We start from the raw sequence: 25,458 nt of genomic DNA on the forward strand, positions 1-25,458 counted from the left end.
GGCTCAAGAATTTAAGCGAACTTGGGTGAATTGAGGTCCCTGTGAGACATCAAATTTGGTTCAGGCAGTGAAGTGGAGATGAGTATTCCCTGAGATAGATAGCTGCTATTTTTTTTTTTTTTCATGAGAAACCGAATGCTACTGAGGCACATTTTTGAGTATACCATTTTCTTTTTACAAGTGAAACCTTTTGGGACCTTCTCACCTTGTTGGTCATTGAATTCAAGTTGTCCCACCCAAAATGGGAATTATCAAGCCAGTGAGTCACAAGAACTCTAAGTGCCAGTCATTTAGTTTCTAAAGGAATCAAATAGAACGACAATAGGTGCTTTTCCATAGGAGTGTACCTGATTGCTGTATCAGAAAGGCTGCAAATCCAAAACCAGAAGTGATGTCTCCAGATGAACACTGCCTCCATTGCCAGTTACAAATCTATCCAAGTTCAACTTCATTTTCAATACATAAGTAATAAGTACATTTGATAATAATTCTCAAGTAGCTAGAAAGCTTTCCAGATCCTCGGTTGTAATTTAAAGAATATCTGAACAGAAGGCTTTCTTTTTTTTTTAAATGTATTTATTTATTTTACTTTTAGTTCTGGGATACAAGTGCAGAACATGCAGATTTGTTACATAGGTATACGTGTCCCATGGTGTTTCACTGCACCTATTGACCTGTCCTCACAGATCCCTCTCCTTGCCTCCCCACCCACCAACAGGCCCTGATGTGTGTTGTTCCCCTCCCTGTGTCCATATGTTCTCATTGTTCAACTCCCGTTTATGAGTGAGAACATGCAGTGTTTGGTTTTCTGTTCCTATGTTAGTTTGCTGAGGATGATGGCTTCCAGTTTCACCCATGTCCCTGCAAAGGACATGATCTCATTCCTTTTTATGGTTGTGCAGTATTCCGTGGTGTATATGTACCATCTTTTCTTTATCTAGTCTATCATTAATGGGCATTTGGATTGGTTCCATGACTTTGCTATTATAAATAGTGCTGCAGTAAACATATGTGTGCATGTGTCTTTTAGTAGAATGATTTATATTCCTTTGGGTATATACCTAGTAATGAGATTGCTGGGTCAAATGGTATTTCTGGTTCTGGATCCTTGATGAATCTCCATACTGTCTTCCAGAATGGTTGAACTAAATTACATTACCACCAACAGTGTAAAAGTGTTCCTATTTCTCCACAGCCTCACCAGCGTCTGTTGTTTCTTTACATTTTAATAATTGTCATTCTGACTGGTGTGAGATAGTATCTCATTGTGGTTTTGATTTGCATTTCTCTAATGATCGGTAATGTTGAACTTTTTTTTATATGTTTGTTGGCCATGTAAATGTCTTCTTTTGAGAAGTGTCTGTTTATGTCCTTTGCTCGCTTTTTGATGGGGTTATTTGTTTTTTTCTTGTAAATTTGTTTGAGTTCCTAGTAACTTCTGGATATTAGACTTTTGTCAAATGGGAAAGTTGCAAAAATTTTCTGCCATTCTGTAGGTTGCCTGTTCACTCTGATGATAGTTTCTTTTGCTGAGCAGAAGCTCTTTAATTTAATTAGATCCCGTTTGTGAATTTTGGCTTTTATTGCAATTGCTTTTGGCATTATCGTCATGAAGTCTTTGCCTATGCCTGTGTCCTGAATGGTATTACCTAGGTTTTCTTCTAGGGTTTTTATGATTCGAGGTTTCACATTTACGTCTTTAATCCAGCTTGAGTTAGTTTTTGTATAAGGTGTAAGGAAGTTGTCCAGTTTCAGTTTTCTGCATATGGCTAGCCAGTTTTCTCAGCACCATTTATTGAACAGGAGATCTTTTTCCCATTGCTTATTTTTGTCAGGTTTGCTGAAAATCAGATGGTTGTAGATGTGTGGTGTTATTTCTGAGGTCTCTGTTCTGTTCCATTGGTCTATGTGAGTAGAAGGCTTTATTAAGCAACAACTGAAATTTGTATAAATTTGCAGTGGTAAGCATGATATATTAACATACATTTTAAAAAACAGTGGTATATTTATAACTCCTAGCCAATTCCTCCTGACATTTTGAGATTTTATTTCCCTCAGCATACTAGGTAATGCCAAATCTATTTGATATTAATAAGCTTGAGTACATATAAATTCGTTGTCTTGGTAACATATTTTTGTTGCGATTATATAATTACCAAAAGCATCTTTAACATTTTATATAAAACCTTCTCTTTATGCTTCTAGAAATTTCTAAGAGATAGTAGTTAAATAATTGTTCTGGGATTCTATAAAAGTTTCTATAAACTTTCTATTCAGGAAAAAAAGGTATTTTCAAAGTTTTCTGTACTTTTAAATATTAATTAGAAAATGTCAATTTTATCCAGACTTTATGTAGCCTTTCCAAGGAAGAGCACTCTATCAACATCTCTATGATGTGGCAAAGAAGTTTATTGTGCTTTGTGGGATCTTGTCCTGCTGAAGAGAGAAAACAGCTGGATTTCTAGAGAATATAAAAAGTAGATGGTTTGGCAGGTGTTTAAGAAAACAAAAATTTTAAAAAGGCTGTTTGTATAAAATCAGTGTAAGAGTCAGGCAACTTGCCTGACAGTGCTGGTCGTTTTCCATAACCACTCCTCAGGTGGCATGTTGCCTTTGTAATATTGTCTCCTTCACATTTTCTCATCAATTTAGCAGTTTTCAGCAGAATAAAAATACTAATTCAATTATAGCTGATATACTGGCCCTTGATCTTCCCTGAGATATGACTGGATTTTCCCTTGTCATTGAAAAGAAAAAACAAAAAAACTCTAAGTTCTAAATCCTGTTTACAATTTTACATCAAATAAAAATTTCCATCCCCACCTTATTTTAACAGAAAAGTCATTAGATTTATTTGTCATTCATGATGAGCTAAAGAGAGAATTCTGATTGTATAAATCAGTGGGAGTTTACTGAGTTACTAGCCTGATTTAACAAGCAATCAACATAAATGGCTTAAATACATTAGAAATAAATGGCCGTATCTTTTTTTTCTGTAATTTTCCAAAAGTACCAAAGCATATGTGTTTCCTTTTATTTTAGAGTCTCCTTGAACTGTAGCCATTGTTTCTAGATTGCCATTTTCAACCCTTTTCTTTCTGTGAGGATGAGAAGGAGGAATACTCATGGCTCTGGTGAGAGAGCTTTGTCTCTCTCTGCCTCTCTCTTTTTCCAATAACGCATTTTTTTTAACAAATATTGAATTATTTACAAATACTGAAATTTGAATTTTTAATTGACAAATAAAAATTGTATATGTTTATTGTGTAAAACATGAGATTTTGAAATATGTATACATTGTGGAAAGGCTAAATTGAGCTTATTAACATGTGCGTTACCTCACATAGTTAACATTTTTTTTGTGGTGAGAATGCTTAAAATGTATTCTCTTAATGATTTTCAAGAATATACTATATTGTTATTAACTATAGTCACCATGTTGTGCAAAAGAGCTCTTGAATTTATTCCTCTCATATAACTGACAAATAGCAATTCTTCAACCAAATATATATTAAACCATATATAACTATGATATATATATATATGTATATGTTAATATTCGCTACCTAGAAGAAATTTAACAATTGATCTGTCTAGCAACTGAATAGAGGCACACTATTTACATAACATTCAAATGGTGCAAGTTTGGTTAGGTATCCTAAGACTAAATTTCATTAAGTGAAATTCTGTCATTGCACTACCTGCCTGTAGTCAATATGTCCTAGGCCTGCCTTTCCAATGGTCTTTCAAAAGGCAGTCAAGACACACTGTAATTGTGTGAATGAAAAATTGCATTTACATCCCCTCAGAATAAATTATTCTAGTTTTAAATCATAAAATGTTTGATTATTTTACAACCTTTTTTAAAAAAAATTGGTATTCTAAGCATCTTTTTTCCCCCAAAAAATTACAGAAACATAGAAATTAATTCTAAGCCATATTATATATTCAATCAAGTAAAAATCAGATAATTACATCCTAAATTATACAACACTAATATAATTAGCAGGTTCCATTGTGGAAAGATAGAGTAAATTTGGAAATTCCATAAATTGGAGAAATATGTCTTAAGAGAGGGAGTTTAAAACAGGAATTTCCAAATTTGGGCTTAAATTTATAATTTTGTTTTTTGAACAGTTGAATTAGAGAATATAAATCAGGGACCATGTTCCTTGTATTGTTTAATTCATTGCCACAAAATGTGGTTTTTTTACTCTATTCAGAAAATTTGTGAAAATAAAAAAAATTTAAGAAAAAGCTGGTTTATAGACTTTATAGAAAAATTGACACTAACATATTAAAATACTATAAATTTTCAATAGTGATGTCTGTAGTGTAAGAGCTAAAAAAATGACTTTACTCAGTTCCATCTAGATTTGGCTCAGAGTCATAGTTATAAACAGTTAAATACACTGAAGAGTCTGCACCTCATTTTTTAGAGCATTCAAATATCAAGTTTTCACTTTATCCAAAACTTAGGGATGAAAAGTCTTATCCCATTTTTAGCATGTTTTCATTAAACAGATGAATATCATCTCACAATAGTAAGTAGAAAATTTCCTGTAAATAAAAATTCTGATATACTTTGTCAACATTTGTAGTCTATAAGATGAATTAAAAGAAACATTGTAAAAGTTATGTAAGCTAAATTACATACATTTTAATATTATTTGTGCAGGCTGCCTTAGAAGAAGAATGGCTAGCATTAGATTCCACCCGCTTCCCTTCACAAACACTGCTTCTTTCAAACCAGCTGCATTGGCCAAAGGTAACATGTCATGGAAACTTCTGAGTCCTCGATCTTTGCTCATTTCTTAAGGTTATGCTATGTTGCAGTGATTAATAATACAATTTATTGACTTGAAAAACATAATTACTTTTAGAAGCCTCTGACTTCCTCCTCATCCCCAGATGTAATTTTTCATGTAGCTTTTCTTTCATTTGCTCCTTTTTTTCTTTATTTTGGATTTCTTTCAACACTTTATTTCACAGTAGCAAAAGAAAAAAAATGATATGCTTCAGCTGCATATTTGGCAGTAGACTAAAATCACTAGTTGACAGCACTTTAAAAATACAAAAATATGCATTAAGAGGGCAACAGCTGAAGATTTTCAGTCAGAGGTCAATGGACTGCAATATCTGTTATTTATTTGATAATCTTTGAAGTTTTAGTTTTCTGAGATTTTTAAAGATCTTTGCAATTAATCATTTTCTATGTGAGAGCTATCCCAAAAAGCATAATTTCCACCACTACAACAAAGGACATGTATAATATATTACATAAATTTCATTTTATTATAATTTTAATTTTATAATGAGTTTCCCTTAGGAGGCTATTTGGTAATATGCATGTAAAATAATACAACATAAATGCTAGGATTTTTTATTTTACTTCACACTTATTTACTTTTTTTGTGAAAAGATTCCTGGAAACTTAAAATGGGATGATACTTCATTTAATTTACCAAGTAATCCAGCTCAAGCATGGTTATGTAATGACAAAGAAAATTTGTCTTCTTCAGAACACACACAATTTAATAGCAGGTAAGCTAAACTATTGTTTTAGAGAATCAACTTGTGAATGACAACAGTATTACATATCATACAAAAGTAGTACAATTATAAAACTAGATGTGAATTTACTTGTTTAGGAAACAGAATATTTAGTGTTAAAAACATCATGGTCATGAAGAGTTTTCAGTGTAAGGAAAATGAATGAAGTAGGTACATTAAAGCAACTACAAAATTTATATGTCAGGGAAACAATGTAATTAATTATTGTAAACAAGTGGATCTTTAAATACTATATAGGTACAGATAATGATTAGACTAAAAATTCCAGTGCTATGTTACTTTTCACAAAGGGATTGAAATATGCTTCAAGTAATTGAAATGTAAACATTTTAAATTAATGGCAGACTTTTATTGCCTTTCAAGATAATGTTTTTTGCTAACTTAGATTTTATTTCCAAGTTTGAGACAACATAAACAGTTTGTAGTTTTAAAAAGTGCTGATATACTTGTGTTGATTCAGTTAAAAGTGGTTTTTTTCTATTGCCAGATCAGAAAATAAAACTTCTTCCTGGACACCTGAATCAAAGACCAGTAGAAAGAGTTTGCTAAAATCTGAAAAAGAAAAAAAAATTTCAGAAGAATGGTATGTAGTCAATTTGACACTAATAAATTAAAAAATTGAGAGATTGCTAAAAGTCCAAGACAGATACTTTTCAAGATTTTAAGAATACCTATATTAGTTTTTTATAAATTGTCCATCCAATTTAGTTTCTTAAATGGGAATTCACATTTATTTTAGTATGCTATAATTCAGATATGCATGTCTATTTTTATATGCATATCTAAATATGATCCGGGTATTTGTTTTACCTTTATTATATTTAATCTTTTAATAGGGGCTTTAAGGATATTTCTACTGCTCAGCAAATGTTGAAGAGGGCACAGAAAATGAAATCGAAGAAACTAAAGAAAAAAATAGGTGAGTAATTAGTGCTCTTTGAATAATAACTGTGTATGGAAAATTGAAGATAACTTCTTTAAAATATATTTTATAAATTATGTTTAATAAGAACAGTAATCAATTCACAGATGACTATGTCTAAGATACTCTGAAAAAAAATAAAACTTAAGAGAAAATTATGCTATGCCATTGAATGATTTATACTCTTAAACACTATTTTTACTTTTTCGGCTCTTTCTTATATACTTTGCTATTGATTGTTCTAGCTATTGTGTACTGAGAATTATAAGTTGTTTTAAAACTGGTTCATTTTGGCAAATGTTGACTCTAAAGAGTATCTGTTTCACTCCTTAGTCTTTTGCGTGCTTTTAAATTGCTTGATTATTCAATAAATTGTATAAATTTATCAGTTCAGTGGATTTTAGCTATGAAGACTTCACAACTTAGAATCTTGGAAAAGCAAAGTTTATATATTTTATGATTTTGTAGGACTTGCGAAATGTTCTAAAGCATCTTTTATTCTATCCCACTTACAAGGCTACTCTTTAAATCATTTGTTTTTCTTTGGATACCTCTAATCATTTTAGTGTAATTACTTAATATATGGAGTCAGAGAAGAAATATCAGGATATTATGATATCTTTAATTAAAACTATTTAAAATAATTGCATGTAACTTTATATATAACTGTAAATATTTACTCATATAAATATAAGAACATGTATTTCTTTTGTACATCAGTTTTGTTTTCTAAAGTTCTTACTGTTAGTAAAAAGTTTCCAAAAAAGACCAGTTACTCATGAGCAGTGCAATAAATGTATACTTTTCCTATAGATCTAGCTTATGTAATCATATGAAAAAATATTTCATAAAACTATTTTTATCTTTTTCTATTAATTATATTTTAATTATAATTCAGTAAATTCTAAGAACCAGATATAAATATAACATTTTAAAACAAGTAAATGTTGCAAAAGTGCTTTTGATTTTCAAGGAATAACTGATATTTATTGGCACATCACTGACTAGCCATTGATAAGTTACTGGTGATTCATTTTTATATTCTGAAGTGTTCAACTTGCATACCTTATTGTTATGTTAGTGATATCTTAATTTTTTTACTTTTTTGTGATAACATTTTTATTGAGTAGTAAATTTTTTCAGGTTTAAAACATTAACATTTCAAGCATTTTTAAAGAAAATATAAACACCTTGCTTTTTAATTTGTTTGTACCTCCTGCACTCTCATTTTGTAAGCTCCTATTAAGTTCATCAGGCTTCTCTGAACTGAATGCTATGTGGTGGTTACCCAGTGAAATAGTAACTCCAGACTCTTAACGATAGTGAGATTCTCTTTCAGTTCTCTAGATATAGAATCTAGTAGTGTAAATCTGGTAGTGTAATAAACTCTATTATTGCTTTGATGTCTATTTCTACCCATCTTCAGCAGTATCAAAAACATTCTTTAAACAACTGTTTTGAGAATAATAACAATTTCTGAAACTCCTGGGGCAAGTTCAAATATCAGAGGTGGTTTAAGAACTGATTCAGCCAATATTCAACAAATAATTATGACATAGTTGTATTCAAGGAATTTTGCTAGGCCCACTTTTAAAAGTATTTGTAATGTTTGCAATAAATAGCCTCCAGTAGTGAAAGCAGAGGAAAAGCTTAGCTTGTCAGACTTCCCATATGATTCCGTCTCTGGGAAATATATAGGTCTTTCTTGCCAACTCTTGTAATTGAGGGTTTTGTTGGGGGTGAGAACATTTTTTATAAAGCAGCATAGCAAGTGTTTTAGCAGAGGATTCAGTAAGGAATATATGCTAGTACATAAAAATCATTGCTTTAATGGCCACGACTAGAGATAATTATCAGGCAAAAATTAAACCTCTTTTATCAGTCACAAGGGGGCATGACAGGGTAACAAATGAAAGAAAGTAACCAGACATCCAGCTTAATGACCACATCTTTAACTTAACATTTTGGGTTAGGTTAAAATCCTAAATGGCAATTGTATAATATTTATGGGGACTGTTACTCCAATAACATGATTATAATCCAAATTGCATTCTTATTACCGTGTAAGGTTTTGTATCTCTATGTATCACTTTTGTTTTGCTTTTTTTATCAATATATTAGAATAATGAAACAAAACATTTTATGTTTAAAACATGAACGCTGAAATGTAAAATTTAGTGATAAGTTTTATACTCTTCTCACTTTTTTCATTCTATTTTTCATTCACAACAGATATACAGATTAGAAACATTAAAGAGAGGATTAATGGTGAAAAGCATGAAAAAGAAAATCTGAGAGATATTTTCTAATCATCACATTTTGTCTATCTTCTGTTCAGTTGATGATGTAGAACTTATTTCATTTTGTATCTGTGAGCAAATTATTTAAGATTCTGTGCCTCAGGTTTTCTTCTTATAGAATAAAAAATGTTCAGTACTTTTTCCAGTTTTATAATTCAATCGATCTGTGATATACCATTAACTTACTTGCATCTGTCTCAAATAATGACCATAATTTAAATTTTTACTCACTAATGAGTTAAAACAATGTTTTAAATATCTAAATTTGGTTAAACACTGAAAGATTTACTAGCAGTTTTTAAATATACTTGGAGATACATATCTTACATAGACAACTTGCCAACTTGAAATTTTTAAGCCACTAGAGAGCAACATCGTCTATAAAACTGCTGCGAGACTAACTAGATCTACGGGAGTGGGGAGCATGGCAGGAGGGGTGTCAGAGAATACAAACAATTAATTAATGTAATAAATTATGGCCTACAATCTAACAAAGTAGTAATCCTCAAGGAAATGGAGCACAATTGCAAGAAGTATGGTAGCTTTAATTCAAATTTCTGCCACAGAAAACCTTAGAGCGCTCAGTAGCAAGCACTTCATATTTTCTGTTTGTATTTTGTACATGTTTTTATCAGTCAAGGGATATGAGTCAATAATATTTTATTTATTTAAGATGAAAATGAAAATACAGCAAAAAGCAGAGGGTCAATTAATTTAAGAAAGTAGAATGTAATGGAATCAGTTGCAGAGAGAGGGAAGAATATGAGGAAGCTCATTTATGAAGAGGCAACAAACTGAGCGAGGAAAGATGTGGTATGGGCAGCTACTAGGGGAGACTTAGTATCGATGACTTCTATTGGTAGAAGTGAGACCATCTGATTAAAAGAGGAGGAGGGTGGAGAAGGAAGAGGAGGAATTGATTGAAAGCTACACGGTAAAATCTAAAATTGTGAGGAGTTATCATTACTTATACAGTTTATGTTTGGGTTATAGTGGTTGTTTTTCCTAGTGAGTAATTGCTTTTAACCTCTTGATTGGCATAAGCTTGAACCAATAATGACTGGTCTTGTATTTCTGGGTTTTATTTGTTTGTTTGTTTGTATTTATTGTTGCTTCATACACAGAAGCAGTTTCAGAATTTGGTGATCTGTGTTGAAATTTAGCAGATATCCAGGGAAGTTTAGAATTCAGTAGTGCAGTGAAGAAGATCCTGTGTAAGGTGAGAGTTACTGGTTTATTGAAAACATGCAGGGTCAATAATCTCACAACACTGAGTGTAATTGGTAGCAAGACTGAGATGAGGTGGATGCAGAAAGGGAGTGGGTGTTTGGTTTTGATGTGGAGCACTCCTCAGAGTGCTCAGAGAGAATGGGGTCTGAGTATAGGGATTTTGGTGGAGATTAGCTGGTAAGAGGTTTAAGGAACATAGTACGAAGACCTAACATGGATTTTTTGCCAGGAATTAAGCCAGCATTAAAAAAAGGCTAATTTTTTATGTCAAGTAAACAACTCATGGGCTATAGCAAAGCCATCAGATTGCAGAATGATAATAAATGTAACTAAAGAATGTTAAGGGGGAGGGACCAGCAGGGAATAGTATAGACAAAACTCTACCAAAATGAAGTTTATTCAAGATTTATTTTGTTTACCACATCAATTTTCAGAAAGATTTTACAAGAATTTTGATCAGATGTTACTGTGTTATGCTCTCAACCACAAAAAATTAATAATAAAATTCATCTGAATAGTAAAATCCTTGAGGGCTGAAACACTCTTGACATCTCAGACCTACTACCACCATGCCTAGCACCTGGTAGATATCCAATGAATGTCAATTGACTAAAAAAAAAAAACTAGATAAAAGTCACTAATATACATTTTACAGTATGTGTGTGCATTTTAGTCATGTAAATATATGCTTATATTTGGGAAAATTTAAATTAGTAAATAGTACTCCTTTTAAGATTATGAAATATTGCTAGTTATTCAAGCTTATTTTACAGCACTGCTATACACCTTATTTTACACCTGCAAAAAATGGGTAATAATAACCAGATTTGTATGTAAGAAGAAAAATACTAAAATAAAACAATGAGATAAATTAGAATTATAGAAGTTGAAAAGGGATTGTACAAGGAATTTAATAATATGGATACTCTAATGCTTAACTAAAATTATATTATTTAAATGAAATAATAAACTGTTAAGTATAGAGATGCATGCATAATAGGGACATGGTTACTTACCTAGGGGTTTCTTGAAACATTTTTGAACATCTATTTAATACCTATTTCCCCAACACTGGGCAAGTCATTGCTGGGAGATAAAAAGATTTATGTTTATAAGGCAACTTACACCTGCTGTTGATTACCACAGAGGAGTAGACTTAAGTGTACAAAACTGACTTTATAATGAATAAAAACGTGTAACAAACTATACTGTTTACAATTACCTTATCCCTTGGCTTTTTTTTTAACTGGGTTGTGTTTTTATTTATTTATTCATTTTTTTATTGAGGTAAGAATACTGCATTATTACCAGTGGTATTTTCAGGGACTATCAAAATCAAGTGATTTTTTTTCTATCTAAAAGTACTATGTTTCTTACTTCTTATAATTATCCCTTTGCAATTTGAATTAATTCAAGATTAAATCAATTTATGCTGATGCAATCAGAATGACTGATAATGTAGCACTATTGCTCTTGGAGAATAAAATTATTTTGAGTAACTTTAGCTAGATAACCTTTCTAAATATTTTGTACATATTAAATTATTTGACCTTGATAATAGTATGAGGAAAGTATGATTGTTTTATTATTTGGCCAAAGAAATGCCAAAGAACTTATAAAATATCCATAGCTTCTGTTCAGTGCACTGTGTTAAATGAAATGGAGCCAATTATGGTTCTATGTATTTTTATATATTGCAGTAAATTTTATGAAGAATGTAAGTTTTTTTTCTAAGAATATAAACTGGAAATGTTTCATTGTTGATGTCATAATTATGTCTGTGGTTGAGAACCTACACAAATGTGTGCATGGGACTGATTTTTTTTACACAAATGATCTCATTAATTTGTACAGTACTACTAGTACTTCAAAAACAATATTACTTCTGTTGGACAGAGGAAGAGACAGAAGGTGAGAACAGTTTTTCCGGAGTCATACAACTAGTAAAATTTGGCACTAGGATCTAACCCAGGTCTGCTGAATTGTTTGTGATGTTGTCAGAAAATACATAGATCAAATAAAAAGGCAAGAAGAGCAAGAGAGTAGAGAGATGGTTATAAGACACCGAACAGTTTGCAAGCCCATGGTAATGTCTTTCCTCATTGACTAATTGTTCTTTGACATGTCATTTTTTTTTGTAAATGACTTAGATGATATATAATACTTATTTTATGAAATATATATACACAGATTTTATTATTCTTACTGATAGTTCATATTGAATTCATAAGAAACATTTAATAACACCTGAGATTACATATATTAATACTTATGAAATGTACCTAAACATTGTCCAACATTTTCCCTAATCTTGAGAAATACAATCATTGTGAAAAATGTAAATCATACTTAGTAAAGATGAATTATTACTAGAAGACTAATGGAAATTGTCAGGTTGCTCATGCTGGAGAATAGCTATGCAAATACTATTTATTTTTGCTACTTTAGCATTTAATTAAAATATGTAATTTGGTATTTACAACATTAAAAATCTTGTTTCTTAATTTGATATGTATAGTCTGCATTCACAATCTATTTTTTGTAATATTAATAGATCTTGAATATTCTTGTCTTTGAATATATGGAGAAAATTTATACATCTTTGTTATCTGAAAATACATTAGGGCAAAGAAAAACCACTATTTTAGGTGTTAAATTAATGAAATAACCTTTTCCTACCTGTTTCTTATTCCATTAGTTGTCTTGCTTCCATCTTTTGTATCCCATCTCCCCACAGTTTAGATGGAAAAGTAGAGTATTTCTGTTCTTTAAGTATTGGCTATTTGTTTAATCAGATAACCAATAATACGTACATGGTTGGCTACCTTTCCATGTTATGAAGCTTAATATAACATCATCATCAATTTCATAGAGCTTTATAAAGTGGATTTTTTTTTTACTACCACCATATAAGAAATATGTGGACATTTAGAGAAGGAATTAACCAAAGATGAACTCTGCTCCTTTCTTATTCGTTTTGTTTAGATTCCACTGTGCGTCTAGCCTTATTCAAAAACAATGAAAATAAAGTGTCTCTTCCAAAATCACCAAAGATGGTACAGCCCAGAAGAGATGGTTACTTTGAAGGTATGGCTTAATAACAGATACATAGAGAGGTAAAAAGATAAAGAAAGATTAAAAGAATTATATTTACAATAAATTTTTAATTCTTAATCATAAAGTATATATATAAAGAATTATGTATAACATATACTTGAATAACTCAAAATATGGCTCTTAAAGCTGAAGTGCTAATTTAGTGTGCTGAAATATTGATATAGTCATTGAAAATTTGTATCAATGTTTACATAAATTTTAATTTTTTTATTTATATATGAACGTTTTATAATGATGTATCATCAGTGACATTAATGTTATTTAAATTTTACAGTGACAGATATATTAACTTGTATCAGTGGAAGTGATCACATGTCGAAATGATATTCTGTTTACTGCCAATTTACACAAATTGTATTAAGCCCTATAAATTATACTCTGGAATTTAAAATATTTTACAATATTTGAAGTTTGCCCAACTCACTGTTGGAGTGAAGGATTTGCACATCTAGGTGGTGATAGTTCTGATTATATCTCTGATTTCAACGTTCAGAAAAAACATGAACTTAAATTATTAAACAGAAATATTTAAATGTAATAAAGTAGCAAGCATGATGCAAAACAGTGCAGCAAACATGACTTAAAACGTTTGCCATCTGCTTTCCTTTTAATATTAATGTTTTTTAGTTTTTATACTAAAAAATTGTACTACTTTTTTAGTATAAAATTTTTATTTAGTTTTAAATTTTCATTTTAGTATAAGTTTTTTATAATTTAACCTATAGTTTGGATAGCAATTTTAATAGAAAAATGGAATCATATTTTAATGAAAAGGACCTATGAACATTTTCAATATTTTGTCTTCTATAAGATTTAAATAAATCTTAAAATTTAGGCATCTTCATAGCACGATTGAAAATGGAAACAGTTTGATTTACATTTCTGTTTTGTAATGTCTAAAACTAAAGAAAAGTTTGTTAACCACCAAATTTACACCATCCTAGAAATGCCTACTGAAGTATGTAGGGGTAGAAGTCATGGAGTCTAGAATTTTCCGTAAAGTAGATAGCAATAGTCTGGGCGTGATGGCTCACGCCTGTAATCCCAGCACTTTGGGAGGCCGAGGCAGACAGATCACGAGATCAGGAGATCGAGACCATCCTGGCTAACACGGTGAAACCCTGTCTCTACTAAAAATACAAAAAATTAGCCGGGCGTGGTGGTGGGCTCCTGTAGTCCCAGCTACTCGGAGGCTGAGGCAGGAGAATGGCGTGAACCCGGGAGGCAGAGCTTGCAGTGAGCCAAGATCGCGCCACTGCACTCCAGCCTGGGCGACAGAGCGAGACTCCACCTCAAAAAAAAAAAATTAATAATAAAAACATACATAGAAAGATAAATAAAACAAGTGTGGGAAATTATTTTGAAATTGTTGGACCAACAGATGATAGTGTGTAAAGATTTCCTTTACATTCTTTTTTTATATTAAATATTTTCCATAGTAAAACATTTAAAAATTTTGGTGCCCATTATCCATGTCAAAACACAATATTATTTCAACAAATATTTATGGATTAATATTTTGATAGAATTAAAATATATTCCCAATTTAAAATAAGGCTTGGGTTTTAATCATTGAGTATATTTCATTGTTATAGTCTTAACTCTACCATTTCAGTCTTTTTTTAAAAAATGTAGAAATTCTGCTAAAATCAGTAATAACTCTACAGATATTGTTTATTAAATAGGAATGTTGTTGCATTAGAAAAGAACTGCCTAGGAAGAAAGATAAGCAGGGTGTTTTTATCCTTTAATTTAACACATATCTCAGACTCATAAAGAGAATCTATCCTAATAGGTTCTCTTGCATCCTATCTTGTTCTATTAAATGTGAAGCTACATTACCATCTAGAATAGTATAATATGTATGTATGATATGTTTATTGAATTGTGTACTGGTATAAAATATGCTAGAAATAGTTCAAAGTAGTGATAAATTCAAAGTGGCCTATAGAATATAAAACATTTCCACATAAGCTTTACGATGTGATGTTCTATGATTTTGTTTTCTTTCCCCCAAGTGAATTTTGTTTCGTTTGCTTTCTTTTGGAACCAGGTAAAGTACATTTGGCATTTCATTAATTTCACTGAATGAGTTTTATGTATTTACCAGATTTTCTAATGTGCTATAGGTTTTTGTTGTTGTTTGTTTAGGAATAGGCTTGGCAAAAACAGTTTTATATGGAAGTTTTTTTTAACAGTTAATATGTTTATTCTTGTCCCTCTTTTTAAGGGGAAAACAGTGACGAAAAGTGAGGCAAAATCATTTGTTCATTGCTGGCCAAGTTGAACCCCATGTTGTCTTTAACTGCTGCTCTGGAATTATTCACTTCACAGAATCACAGATATTTCCTGATGCCACAGAGTGCAGCTTCCAAAGAAATATCCCAACTTACCCCTACTGCCCAGTAGAGAGTGCCTCCTGAACCCAATTCTTCTGAGATACAACTTTATTATAAAATGCACCTCTTTTAAAAGTGCAATACAATGAACTCTACTATATTTACAGTTACATAACCATCACCAAATCTAGTTTTAGAACATTGGAAGATCTTTTATTCCTTAAGAAAAAAAATCAAATAAAATTAGTGGTTGGGCATCTGATGCCCCCCAGAAAAGTGAGGAAGATCAAAATTAAATTTTCCTGTAGGTTCATATTGAATAATTCCATGTGGAACAGTATCTCAGCACAATGGTATGCCAACACTGTCTTATAATTTCCTTGGTTTTGTTGAAATTGGATCATACTGTAGAACTGCTTGACTATTGCTTTCCAAAATCCACATTTATTTTAGTAACATTGTATAAATTTAAAAAAAAATTACTTTCTATCTCCACTCTGCAATGTTGACTATATGGGGTTTCCATGATTCTTCTTACAAATTTGATTTTTATTGTGGCTTTTTCTGAACATCCCTAGCAAAAACATTAGTAGCAAGAAAGGATGGTAGATATATCTCTGTTGGTCTATGATTAAAAATATGCTTAAATTCAAGGAATAGTTGATATTAAATATCAAATTATATTAAAAATATAAGGTAAAATATTATACCATTTTTACAGTCTATGTTTTACAGGATGTTCTTCTATTTTTTCTATATTCATAAAATGTTGACCATTTTTGTCTGGCTACCAGATTTAGATCTTTAACTTAATCAAGTCTGAGGAGCCTTTGACCACGCCTGTCCCCAGAGTCACCTCATATATGTGCCATGTGTCACCTATTAGCCAGTTTTTCCTATGAGACAAGTCTGAGAGCCTGAACACTTTGCAGATTTAACATTGGCTTATTTTATTTATTTGTTTATTTATATTTATTTTGAATCAGATGCCTGTCTTTGTTTACCTTTGTTACCAACCTGTAATACCTACTTGGATTTCAATATCCTATATTGTCTTAGAACTCAAAACAATTTCTTGGTTATTGCCTTAAAGATCTGCAGCCAAGTTTCTTTTTTTTCTGTCTTAATTGTTTAGTTTGGAGCTCTGACATCATTTATATTCATCACTTGCATAAGAACAAGCATAGCTTAATGGACATTAGTGTAGATTCTGGAGTTAGTCCAACACAGTTTGAATCTTGTCTTTATCGTTTATTAGCTCTGTGACCTTTGGGAAGTTGTTTAACTTCTCTGTTTCTCATTATTTTTCATCTATGAAATAAGAGGCGAACAGTACTTAGGCATGGGGAGTATTGTGAGGATTACATAGATTTTATTTGTGAGAATCTTGGAACACACAATCTAAGTACATATTAAGTGCTCAAAATGTAATCATTAGCAATAGTCATTTTAAAAGTATGGCATCCCTTCTTGTTCTTGTTTACAATTAGTTCTCTTTATTCCATTTATTATTAAGTACTGTGCTGAGAGTTTTACTTACGTTCTCTGATTCAGTGCTTTCAGAAACTTTGAGAAAGGTATTATGACTGTCAACATTTTACAGATGATAAAACAGTAGTATTGAGAGATTGATAGGTGACTTGACCAAGGTTTCTACATAGAAAACAAGTGGCTGAAGGGAAATGGTAATAATTTCTTTGACAAATAAAGCTTGCAAAATCAAAACAAAATACAAATGTTAGAGAAAAAAGATTACCAGGTAACCATGAAATTTATACCACTTAGAATTAAAATACTTAGGAAAAAAGTAAAGACTAATTATTAAAATAAGGTAAAACTCTGAGAAAACCATAATCAATTTTGGTTTTTATTCCTTTCTCATAGTTGCATTAATATAATTTAGGATATCATTTAGTGCCAACATGGTAATGAAGATTTGATTTGTGACCTATAGTTAGCTGCTATCTTGGATAATGTTATTATTGATATTATTATGATAACCTAATATTAAATATCAAGTCTGTGAGATTATTAGTAAAGAGTGACCATTTTTAAAATAATTCCAACTTTTATTTTAGATTCAGGGGTAACATGGGCAGTTTTGTTAAATTGTGTATGATACTGAGGTTTGGGCTACAAATGATCTCATCACCCAGATAAAGAGCATAGTAACAAACAGGTACCGTTTTTCAGCCCCTGGTTTCCTCCCTCTCTCCCCACTCTAGTAGTTCCTGGGGTCTATTGTTTCTGTCTTTGCGTCCATGTGTACCTGATGTTTAGCTCCCACTTATAAGTGAGAACATGCGGTATTTGGTTTTCTGTTCCTGCATTAATTGCCTTAAGATAGTGGCCTCCATGTTGCTGGAAAGGACATGATTTCTTACTTTTTTTTTTTTTTTTTTTTTTTGAGACAGAGTCTTGCTCTGTCACCCAGGCTCAAGTGCAGTGACACTATCTCTTCTCACTGCAACCTCTGCCTCCCAGGTTCAAGCAATTCTCCTGCCTCATCCTCCCAAGTAGCTGGCATTACAGGCACACGCCACCACGCCCAGCTAATTTCTTTTGTATTTTAGTAGAGACGGGGTTTCACCGTGTTGCCCAGGTTGGTCTCCTGAGCTCAGGCAATCCACCCGCCTTGGCCTCCCAAAGTGCTAGGATTACAGGCATGAGCCACCGCGCCCGGCTGATTTGATGCATTTTAATGGCTCCATAGTATTCCATGGTATATATGTTCCACATTTTCTTTATCCAAACCACTGCTGACGAGCACCTAGGTTGATTTCAGGTCCCTGCTATTGTGACTAGTGCCGCGATGTACATACGAGTGCATGTCTTTTTGGTAGAAGGATTTATTTTCCTTTGGGTTTATACCCAGTAATAGGATTGCTGTGTCGAATGGTAGTTCTATTTTCAGTTCTTTGAGAAATCTCCCACATTTTGAATCACATGTTTTAATTTTCAGATATATGAGAACCTCCCCACAGAGCCTATATTTTTGCTTCATTATTCCTATTTTTATTTATACATAAATTAAGTCACTTTCCTGCCCTCATCTACTGAAACTTCTAAATTTGCTACTTCTAAAGTCAATGCCAAATTCAGACTTCTGGCTTTGGTCAGGGAAGGAAGTTAGCCAAGCCAGGAAAAAAATTTAGTCTGGCGCAACAACTTTCTGAGGAATACGGGTTTATTTAGTCTTAGCTCCTCCATTCCCTGGGACAATTGTACTCGATTTCAAGTCAGATTTTCTTAATTCCCAGTCTGCTGCTGTCATCACTAACATGCTTCCTATTTGTTCTTTTATAAAATAGAAGATTTGCAGATAACTCATGGTTTTATAAACATATATTCAAATATTTTTGTATTAAATGTTTAAATATTGAATGTATTAAGAAACCTATAACTTCTATAATTTTTACTCCAGAACATTTCTTTTGTGATACTTTTTACTTTAGAATTATAAGCATTTTCTCCTCCTGACTTCTCCTTTTTAATGCCAGCTTAGAGAACAGTTTATGTTGTGTAGATTGCTTTAAAGGAGGTCTTGCATTTCCCTAGCTGTTTATAGTACTTGCTAATAGTGCCAATGACTATGTATTAAGAGATGGCAGCATAAATGCCACAGGGCATATGCAGGCAACAAAATACCTGAAGGCAGCCCCGTAAGAAGAGATGCTCATAATTTTATTCCACTGAGCAAGATTCAATAATTAGTCAAAATTATCATGGATGCAAAGATTTATAAAATGTGATTTATCAGTATGTCAGTCTCCAACAAACACTATATTTTGAATTACTGTTTTCCTACTAAGTTTTGAGCTCCATGTATTTCTTTAATACCCCTAGCCCTTAGCACAGTGCCTAATGTATAATGGATAGTTAATAAATGTTTTTTGATGAATAACTGAAAAATACAAAGGACCCTGGCATTAAAGAGTGTCAAACATAGATGGAGTTGCAATATGCTTATATAATATTTTTTAACATGCTGTTTGCTTTGCCAAATTAGACTCATTGCCCTATGCAATCCAGAAAAATCTCTTCACTTGGCTAATTTGTATTATCTCAGGCATTTAATTTTTTAGGAAGACTTTTCTGATTCTAGTTTAGAACACCACTCACTGTGTGTCCTGAATAAACTTTTATATGCCATATGTATTATTAGTCAGGGTTCTCTAGAGGGACAAAACTAATAGGATAGATGTATATATAAAGGGAATTTATTAAAAAGTATTGACTAACACGATCACAGAGTGAAGCCCCACAATAGGCCATCTGCAAGCTGAGGAGCAAGGAAGCCAGCCCGAGTCTCAAAACCTCAAAAGTAGGGAAGCCAACAGTGCAGTCTTCAGTCGTTTGCTGAAGGCCCAAGTGCCTCTTGCAAACTGCTGGTGTAAGTCCAAGAGTCCAAAAGCTGAAGAACTTGGAGTCCAATGTTCTAGGGCAGGAAGCATTCAGCATGGGAGAAAGATGAAGGCTGGAAGACTCAGCAAGTCTCTCTTCCATCTTCTCCTGCCTACTTAATTCAAGCCAAGCTGGTAGCTGATTAGATGGTGCCCACCCAGATTGAGGGTGGGCCTGCCTTTCCCTGTTTACTGACTCAAATGTTAATCTCCTTTGGCAACACCCTCACAGACACAACCAGGAACAATACTTTGCATTCTTCTATCCAATCAAGTTGACACCCAGTATTAACCATCACAAGTCCACCCCTTGTCAACTTGAACCCATTCACATGTCCTGACATCACACATAATCTTCAAATAAAGACAATAATAAGGTCATAATAATGCCTAACCTAACGCAGCTAGCATTCATACAATCGGAAGTGCACTAATCCTTAACCTAAATGCTATTACATAAAGTTAACAACACTTAAATCCTGTCATGAAGTCAATAAATTTTATGGCACATTATAAAGGAAAAAGAAAGGAAATAAAATGAAGATATTTTCTTAGTACAAGTGTATACATGCACAAACAAGTTCTTAATGAAATAAGAAGAAAATACTCTTGACAATCACAGTCCTACCTTCTTCTAATACCCATCCCATTGCCTTCAGCAAGCACCTCAGCAGGTCATGGTTTTTTATCTGGAGGAGTGAACCAAACCTTCATTCCTGAAGGGGCTGGGCCATTTGTAGCCCTGCCTGGAGTGGGTTCCTGTAGTTACCTACTGACCTTAATCACAGGGCATGGTAATACTAAGGGACACCCTAAGGGATCTCCTGTCCCACTCATATTCCGCCTTACCTCCATCATGAAGTAGTAGACTTCATCTTGATACTCTGGGCCAATCACCCCAGCCAACACTACAGCTCCCTTGTTAGCCTATTGACTTAGAGGTAGGAGGAGCACAAAGTAGCCAGGTGGCAATCTTAACTTCCAGTTTAATGGAATTATTGTTGTATCTCCTGGTGGCAGCATTCCTCCTTTTGGAACTAAGACCTCTAGGCCAGCAGAATATAATGTCATAGGAATAGGAAGCAAAAATTTTGCTAGTGGGTCACTAGGGGTGATGGTGAGTGGTGCCACTTCCAATTCCGCCCCTTAATTCCTGGACCTGTGAATCCTGGCTATGGGAGAAAGAGTACCATATATTGGACACTGATTCAGGGCATACACAGCCTTCTGGAGAACTTTGCCCCAGGCCTGCAAAGTATTGTCACCTATTTTGTATTGTAATTGTGACTTCGAAAGGCCATTCCACCATTCTATCAATGCAGCTGCTTCAGCTTCAGATGATGGGGAATATGGTAAGACCAGTGAATTCCATGAGCATAAGCCCACTGCCACACTTCTTTAGTTATGAAGTTTGTGCCTTGGTCAGAGGCAATACTGTGAGGAATACCATGGCAACAACATATCATCAATAGGGTAAAACTAACCTGTCTCACAACACCACTCACTATGTTTCAATAGTATCCTGAGGAAATTATTATATACCATATAATATAATAGCCTCCTTAGTGTTGCTTATCATTTATCATTTGTACAAGGCACTGTTCTAAGTATTTTATCTCTACTAATTAATGACATTCTCACAAGCAGGCTTTTGAGATAGGAGACAAAACTTCATTCCTTTTGGAAAAGATAGTATCAGTAGAAATCTGCCTGCATTTGCAAGGAATGAAGGATAAAATAGCAAAATCTTGTAATCTGTTTTTTGCATGATTTTTTTTATAAGTCTTGACTAGTAGGGAGAGAGGAACCTGGAGAAAGAGTCAGTAACAAAACTAAATAAAATTGAAATGTAAGTTGGAAGCCCTTAGATAATTGAAGATCAGGAGCTATGTTTTGATTTTTTTAATGTGATATGATAGCTCTTGATATAATTAAGTATCTAAAATCTTTTCATGGCCTCCTGTTGTCCTTTGAATAAAAGCTGGACTTGATATTAAATATCATGTCCTACCGGACTGTAATTGTCAAGCCCTCTTTCTGTTCCTCAAGTATGATAAGTACTTTATTATTTTGTAGCTTTCGTATTTCATCCTCTTTCTGCCTAAACAGTGCCCTTAGCATTTTACACAAATGGCTGTCTTATTGTTTAGTTTCACATTTATCCAGTGTGAGAACCTTTCCCTGTAACACTATTTCACATAGCCTTTTCCTCTCTTACCAGCTCCTCTCTCTCATAACACCTGTCATTTTGTGGCATTTATTTGCTATTGTCTCATTTATTAATTTAAACTGCTTACTTATATATTGTGGCTCCAACAATAGTATGGAAGGAGAGCCATGTCAGAATGGTTTATTCTTATATCCTCAGCACTTAGAGCAGTGCCAGTAGTATATTGGTTCTCAATAAATATATGATTAAGAAAGAATGTAAATGTACATGACATCTTATAATTAAAACTTCCTAAATATATTCTAGGCAGTATCACATCATTTAGTAATACAAGGTTTGAAATAAATTTCAATTTTCTACAGAAAAAATAAATCTGATTAGAGAATTTGGTCCAGTGAAGCATAAAACAAACTATAACTTTTAAAACGTTTATATCTGGATAAGGTAGATTCAGGGAATGGCAATCTAAGGTCTGAGAGCAACCTATTCAACTATTTTTTAATCCAAATCAGTTATAAATAGCTCATATTTTTTGTATTTCCCCCTAATTCTGCCATAATTGAATATTTGTGTTCTATTCCAAAGTATGTATTTGTATGTGCATATTGTATATATATATATATATATGTACTTAAATGCTGATATGAAGTCAGTAAAACTTACATCACATAATAAAGGAAAAAGAAAGGAAATAAAATGAAGATATTTTCTTAGTACAAGCATATACATGCACAAACGTGTTCTTAACAAAATAAGGAGTCATATATACTATGCATATACAAAAAATTGTATATGCATAGTATATGCACATATTATATGTATATATAATTTACATATCCCATGTATAAATATATATATAACATATATACTTTATAGATACACTTTTTATACATATATGTGTGTATATATGAGAGATATGTATATGGTTAAATTTTTAAATAGGAAGAGATTTCAGAGCTCTTAGAGTTTTTTGAAATGGACCATATGTAGCCTGTGTACTTTTTGTTAAAAAAAAAGAGGACTTCCACTTCTCATAATAGAGGACTATGTAATTCTGATCAACTGTACTTCAGAGAACAACTACAAAAGCTGGAAAATTTTTGTTTTAAAAATTTCAGTGAAGTCATTGGAGACCTAACAAGTAAGAAATTATAAGTCAAGAAGGAAATCCAAAGAGCTGAGAAGCTGATAAAAATTTTTGATGTTACTTGCCTAGGTCAACTGGAAATAGATTTTTCACTAGCCTCTTACCTGAAACAAAAATAAATCATCTCCAAAAATAGATAACATAATTCTAGACTTCTTTTTATCTCCACAGTTTTTCATATAAAATATCTGGCACACAGTGAAAAATAAACATGGAAAGAGATGAGACATCATTATTGAACAAGAGAAACAAGAGACGATGTAAGTAGAGCCAATGAGACTTTAGATAATGGAGATTTTAAAATAAATGTACATAATATCTTTGAGGATACGGAAGAAGAAATTGAGAATTTCAGCAGGATATTAAACCTATAAAAATATCCAAATTGAAAGTTTATAACTTAAAACCACGACTGAACTTAAAAATTCAATGGATGGATTCAGCTACAGATTAATCAAAACTGAAGAGATAATTATCAACTGAAACACATTTAGAATCCAATAAAGAGAAGTGTGAGGCAGTGGAGTACAAGTAACATTTGAAGGATTTATGGTTGAATATTTACCAAAAGTGAAGAAAAAGCTGAAGTTGTAAATGCAAGAAATTAATGTGCATAAAGAAAATATATACAATAAAAACCACATCTTGGCATATCATCATAAAATTGCTAAAATCGAAGACAAAGACAGAAATTTTAATAAGAGCCACAGAAAAAGATACATTATCTTCAAAGAAGCATCAGTAATAAAGCTAACTTCTTCAGAGAAACAAAGCCAGAAGATAATTGTTGTGGACTGAGTTGTGTCCTTCAAAAATTCATAGGTTGAAGCCTTGATGTCCAATTTGACTGTATTTGGAGTTAGGAACTGAAAGAGGTAATTGAGATAAAATTCAGTCAGAAGGTTGGGCCCATAATCCAATAGAATGAATGTCCTTTTTAGAAGAGGAAGAGACACCAGGAGTGTGTGGGTACAGAGGCAAGCACATATGAAGAGAAGGTGGCCATCTGCAAGCCAAGGAGAGAAGCCTCTGAAGAAACCTCACCTTCCAGCACCTGGATCTTGGACTTTTAGCTTCTACAACTGTGAGCAAATAAATTTCTGTTATTTAAGCATCCCAGTCTGTAGTATTTTGTTATAGCAGCCCAAGCTGACTAATGTAATAATGTAGTGGTAGCTTCAAAGTGCTAAAATAAAATATCTTCCACCATGAAAGTTTATATCTAGCAAAACTTCTTACATCAAAAAGAAAGCAAAGCACGCATACCACCCAACTCCCCAATTGCTGCTTTCCTGGACAGCTACAAGGAAGAAGAAAGAAGGCACCTGGGTTCCTGAGCCAAAGCTTCACAGAGAAAGTAGGGAAGAATAGTAACTTTGGTGAAGTCCATGGCACCCCTTTGTCCCTTGCCCCTTGTAAGAAACTTCTCTGTCATCTGTATCAGGTACCCCCCTACCTGTCTCATAGGACACTCTGTATTTCTGGAATAGCTAGAAATTATATCCAAGTCTCAGAGAATTACTACAACATCTTGGAAAGTTTGTCATCCTTAAGAATATTGCCTTTTATCTAAACTAGGCTACATGAATTAATGAAGTGACAATGGATTTAGACTGAGAAAGTCTTGTGTTAAATCTTGCATAGACACTCACTAGCTAAATACTCCATGTCCTGTTTTTCTCAATTGCAAAATCAGAATACTAGCCTTTACTTCTCATGATATTTTGAAAATTAAATGAGAATCTAAGGGCTTCTGGATAAAAATGATGCTGCTGAAAATCTCCCTAAAATTTCTGTGGAGGTATTTTTAAGATATAGATGAGCAAATATGGGAATATTAGGAAGGGGCAACAGCAATAGAACTTTTTAGGCTAGAAAGTAAATATGTGAGTAATAATGAGAAAGCAAAAGCTTAAACCAGCAATGGGAAAATATGAGATCTGTCTCTATGTCAAAGGTTCGGGAATTGATGATATTAGGCCCTCTTGATATGAGATGAAGTGGGCATTAAAATAAATATATTGGCCGGGTGCAGCAGCTCATACCTGTAATCCCAGCACTTTGTGAAGCTGAGGCGGGTGGATCACAAGATCAAGAGATCGAGACCATCCTGGTGAACATGGTGAAACCCCATCTCTACTAAAAATTAAAAAAAAAATAGCTGGCATGGTGGTGCACACCTGTAGTCCCAGCTACTCGGGAGGCTGAGGTAGGAGAATCGCTTGAACCTGGGAGGCAGAGGTTGCAGTGAGCCGA

At 32.8% G+C, this 25,458-nt stretch overlaps 1 protein-coding gene across 17 annotated transcripts in view; it reads left to right on the forward strand.

Moving 5' to 3' along the window:
* Positions 1–25,458, forward strand: part of LRRIQ1 (leucine rich repeats and IQ motif containing 1) — a 236,455-nt gene that overhangs the window by 111,251 nt on the left and 99,746 nt on the right. For 13 of the 17 annotated variants that reach the window (XM_011538819.4, XM_024449222.2, XM_011538817.3 and 10 more), the window contains 5 exons: positions 4,679–4,768; positions 5,423–5,544; positions 6,062–6,157; positions 6,411–6,493; positions 13,012–13,113. In XM_011538819.4, coding sequence (XP_011537121.1) covers positions 4,679–4,768; positions 5,423–5,544; positions 6,062–6,157; positions 6,411–6,493; positions 13,012–13,113 — 493 coding nt within the window. Of the gene's footprint in view, positions 1–4,678; positions 4,769–5,422; positions 5,545–6,061; positions 6,158–6,410; positions 6,494–11,922; positions 12,107–13,011; positions 13,114–15,373; positions 20,418–25,458 lie in introns of those variants that run through there. The other 4 variants (XM_024449223.2, XM_047429654.1, XM_011538823.3 and 1 more) reach the window with 3 other exon arrangements.

Source organism: Homo sapiens, chromosome 12 (assembly GCF_000001405.40).
Source record: "Homo sapiens chromosome 12, GRCh38.p14 Primary Assembly".
NCBI classification, from domain to species: Eukaryota; Metazoa; Chordata; class Mammalia; order Primates; family Hominidae; genus Homo; species Homo sapiens.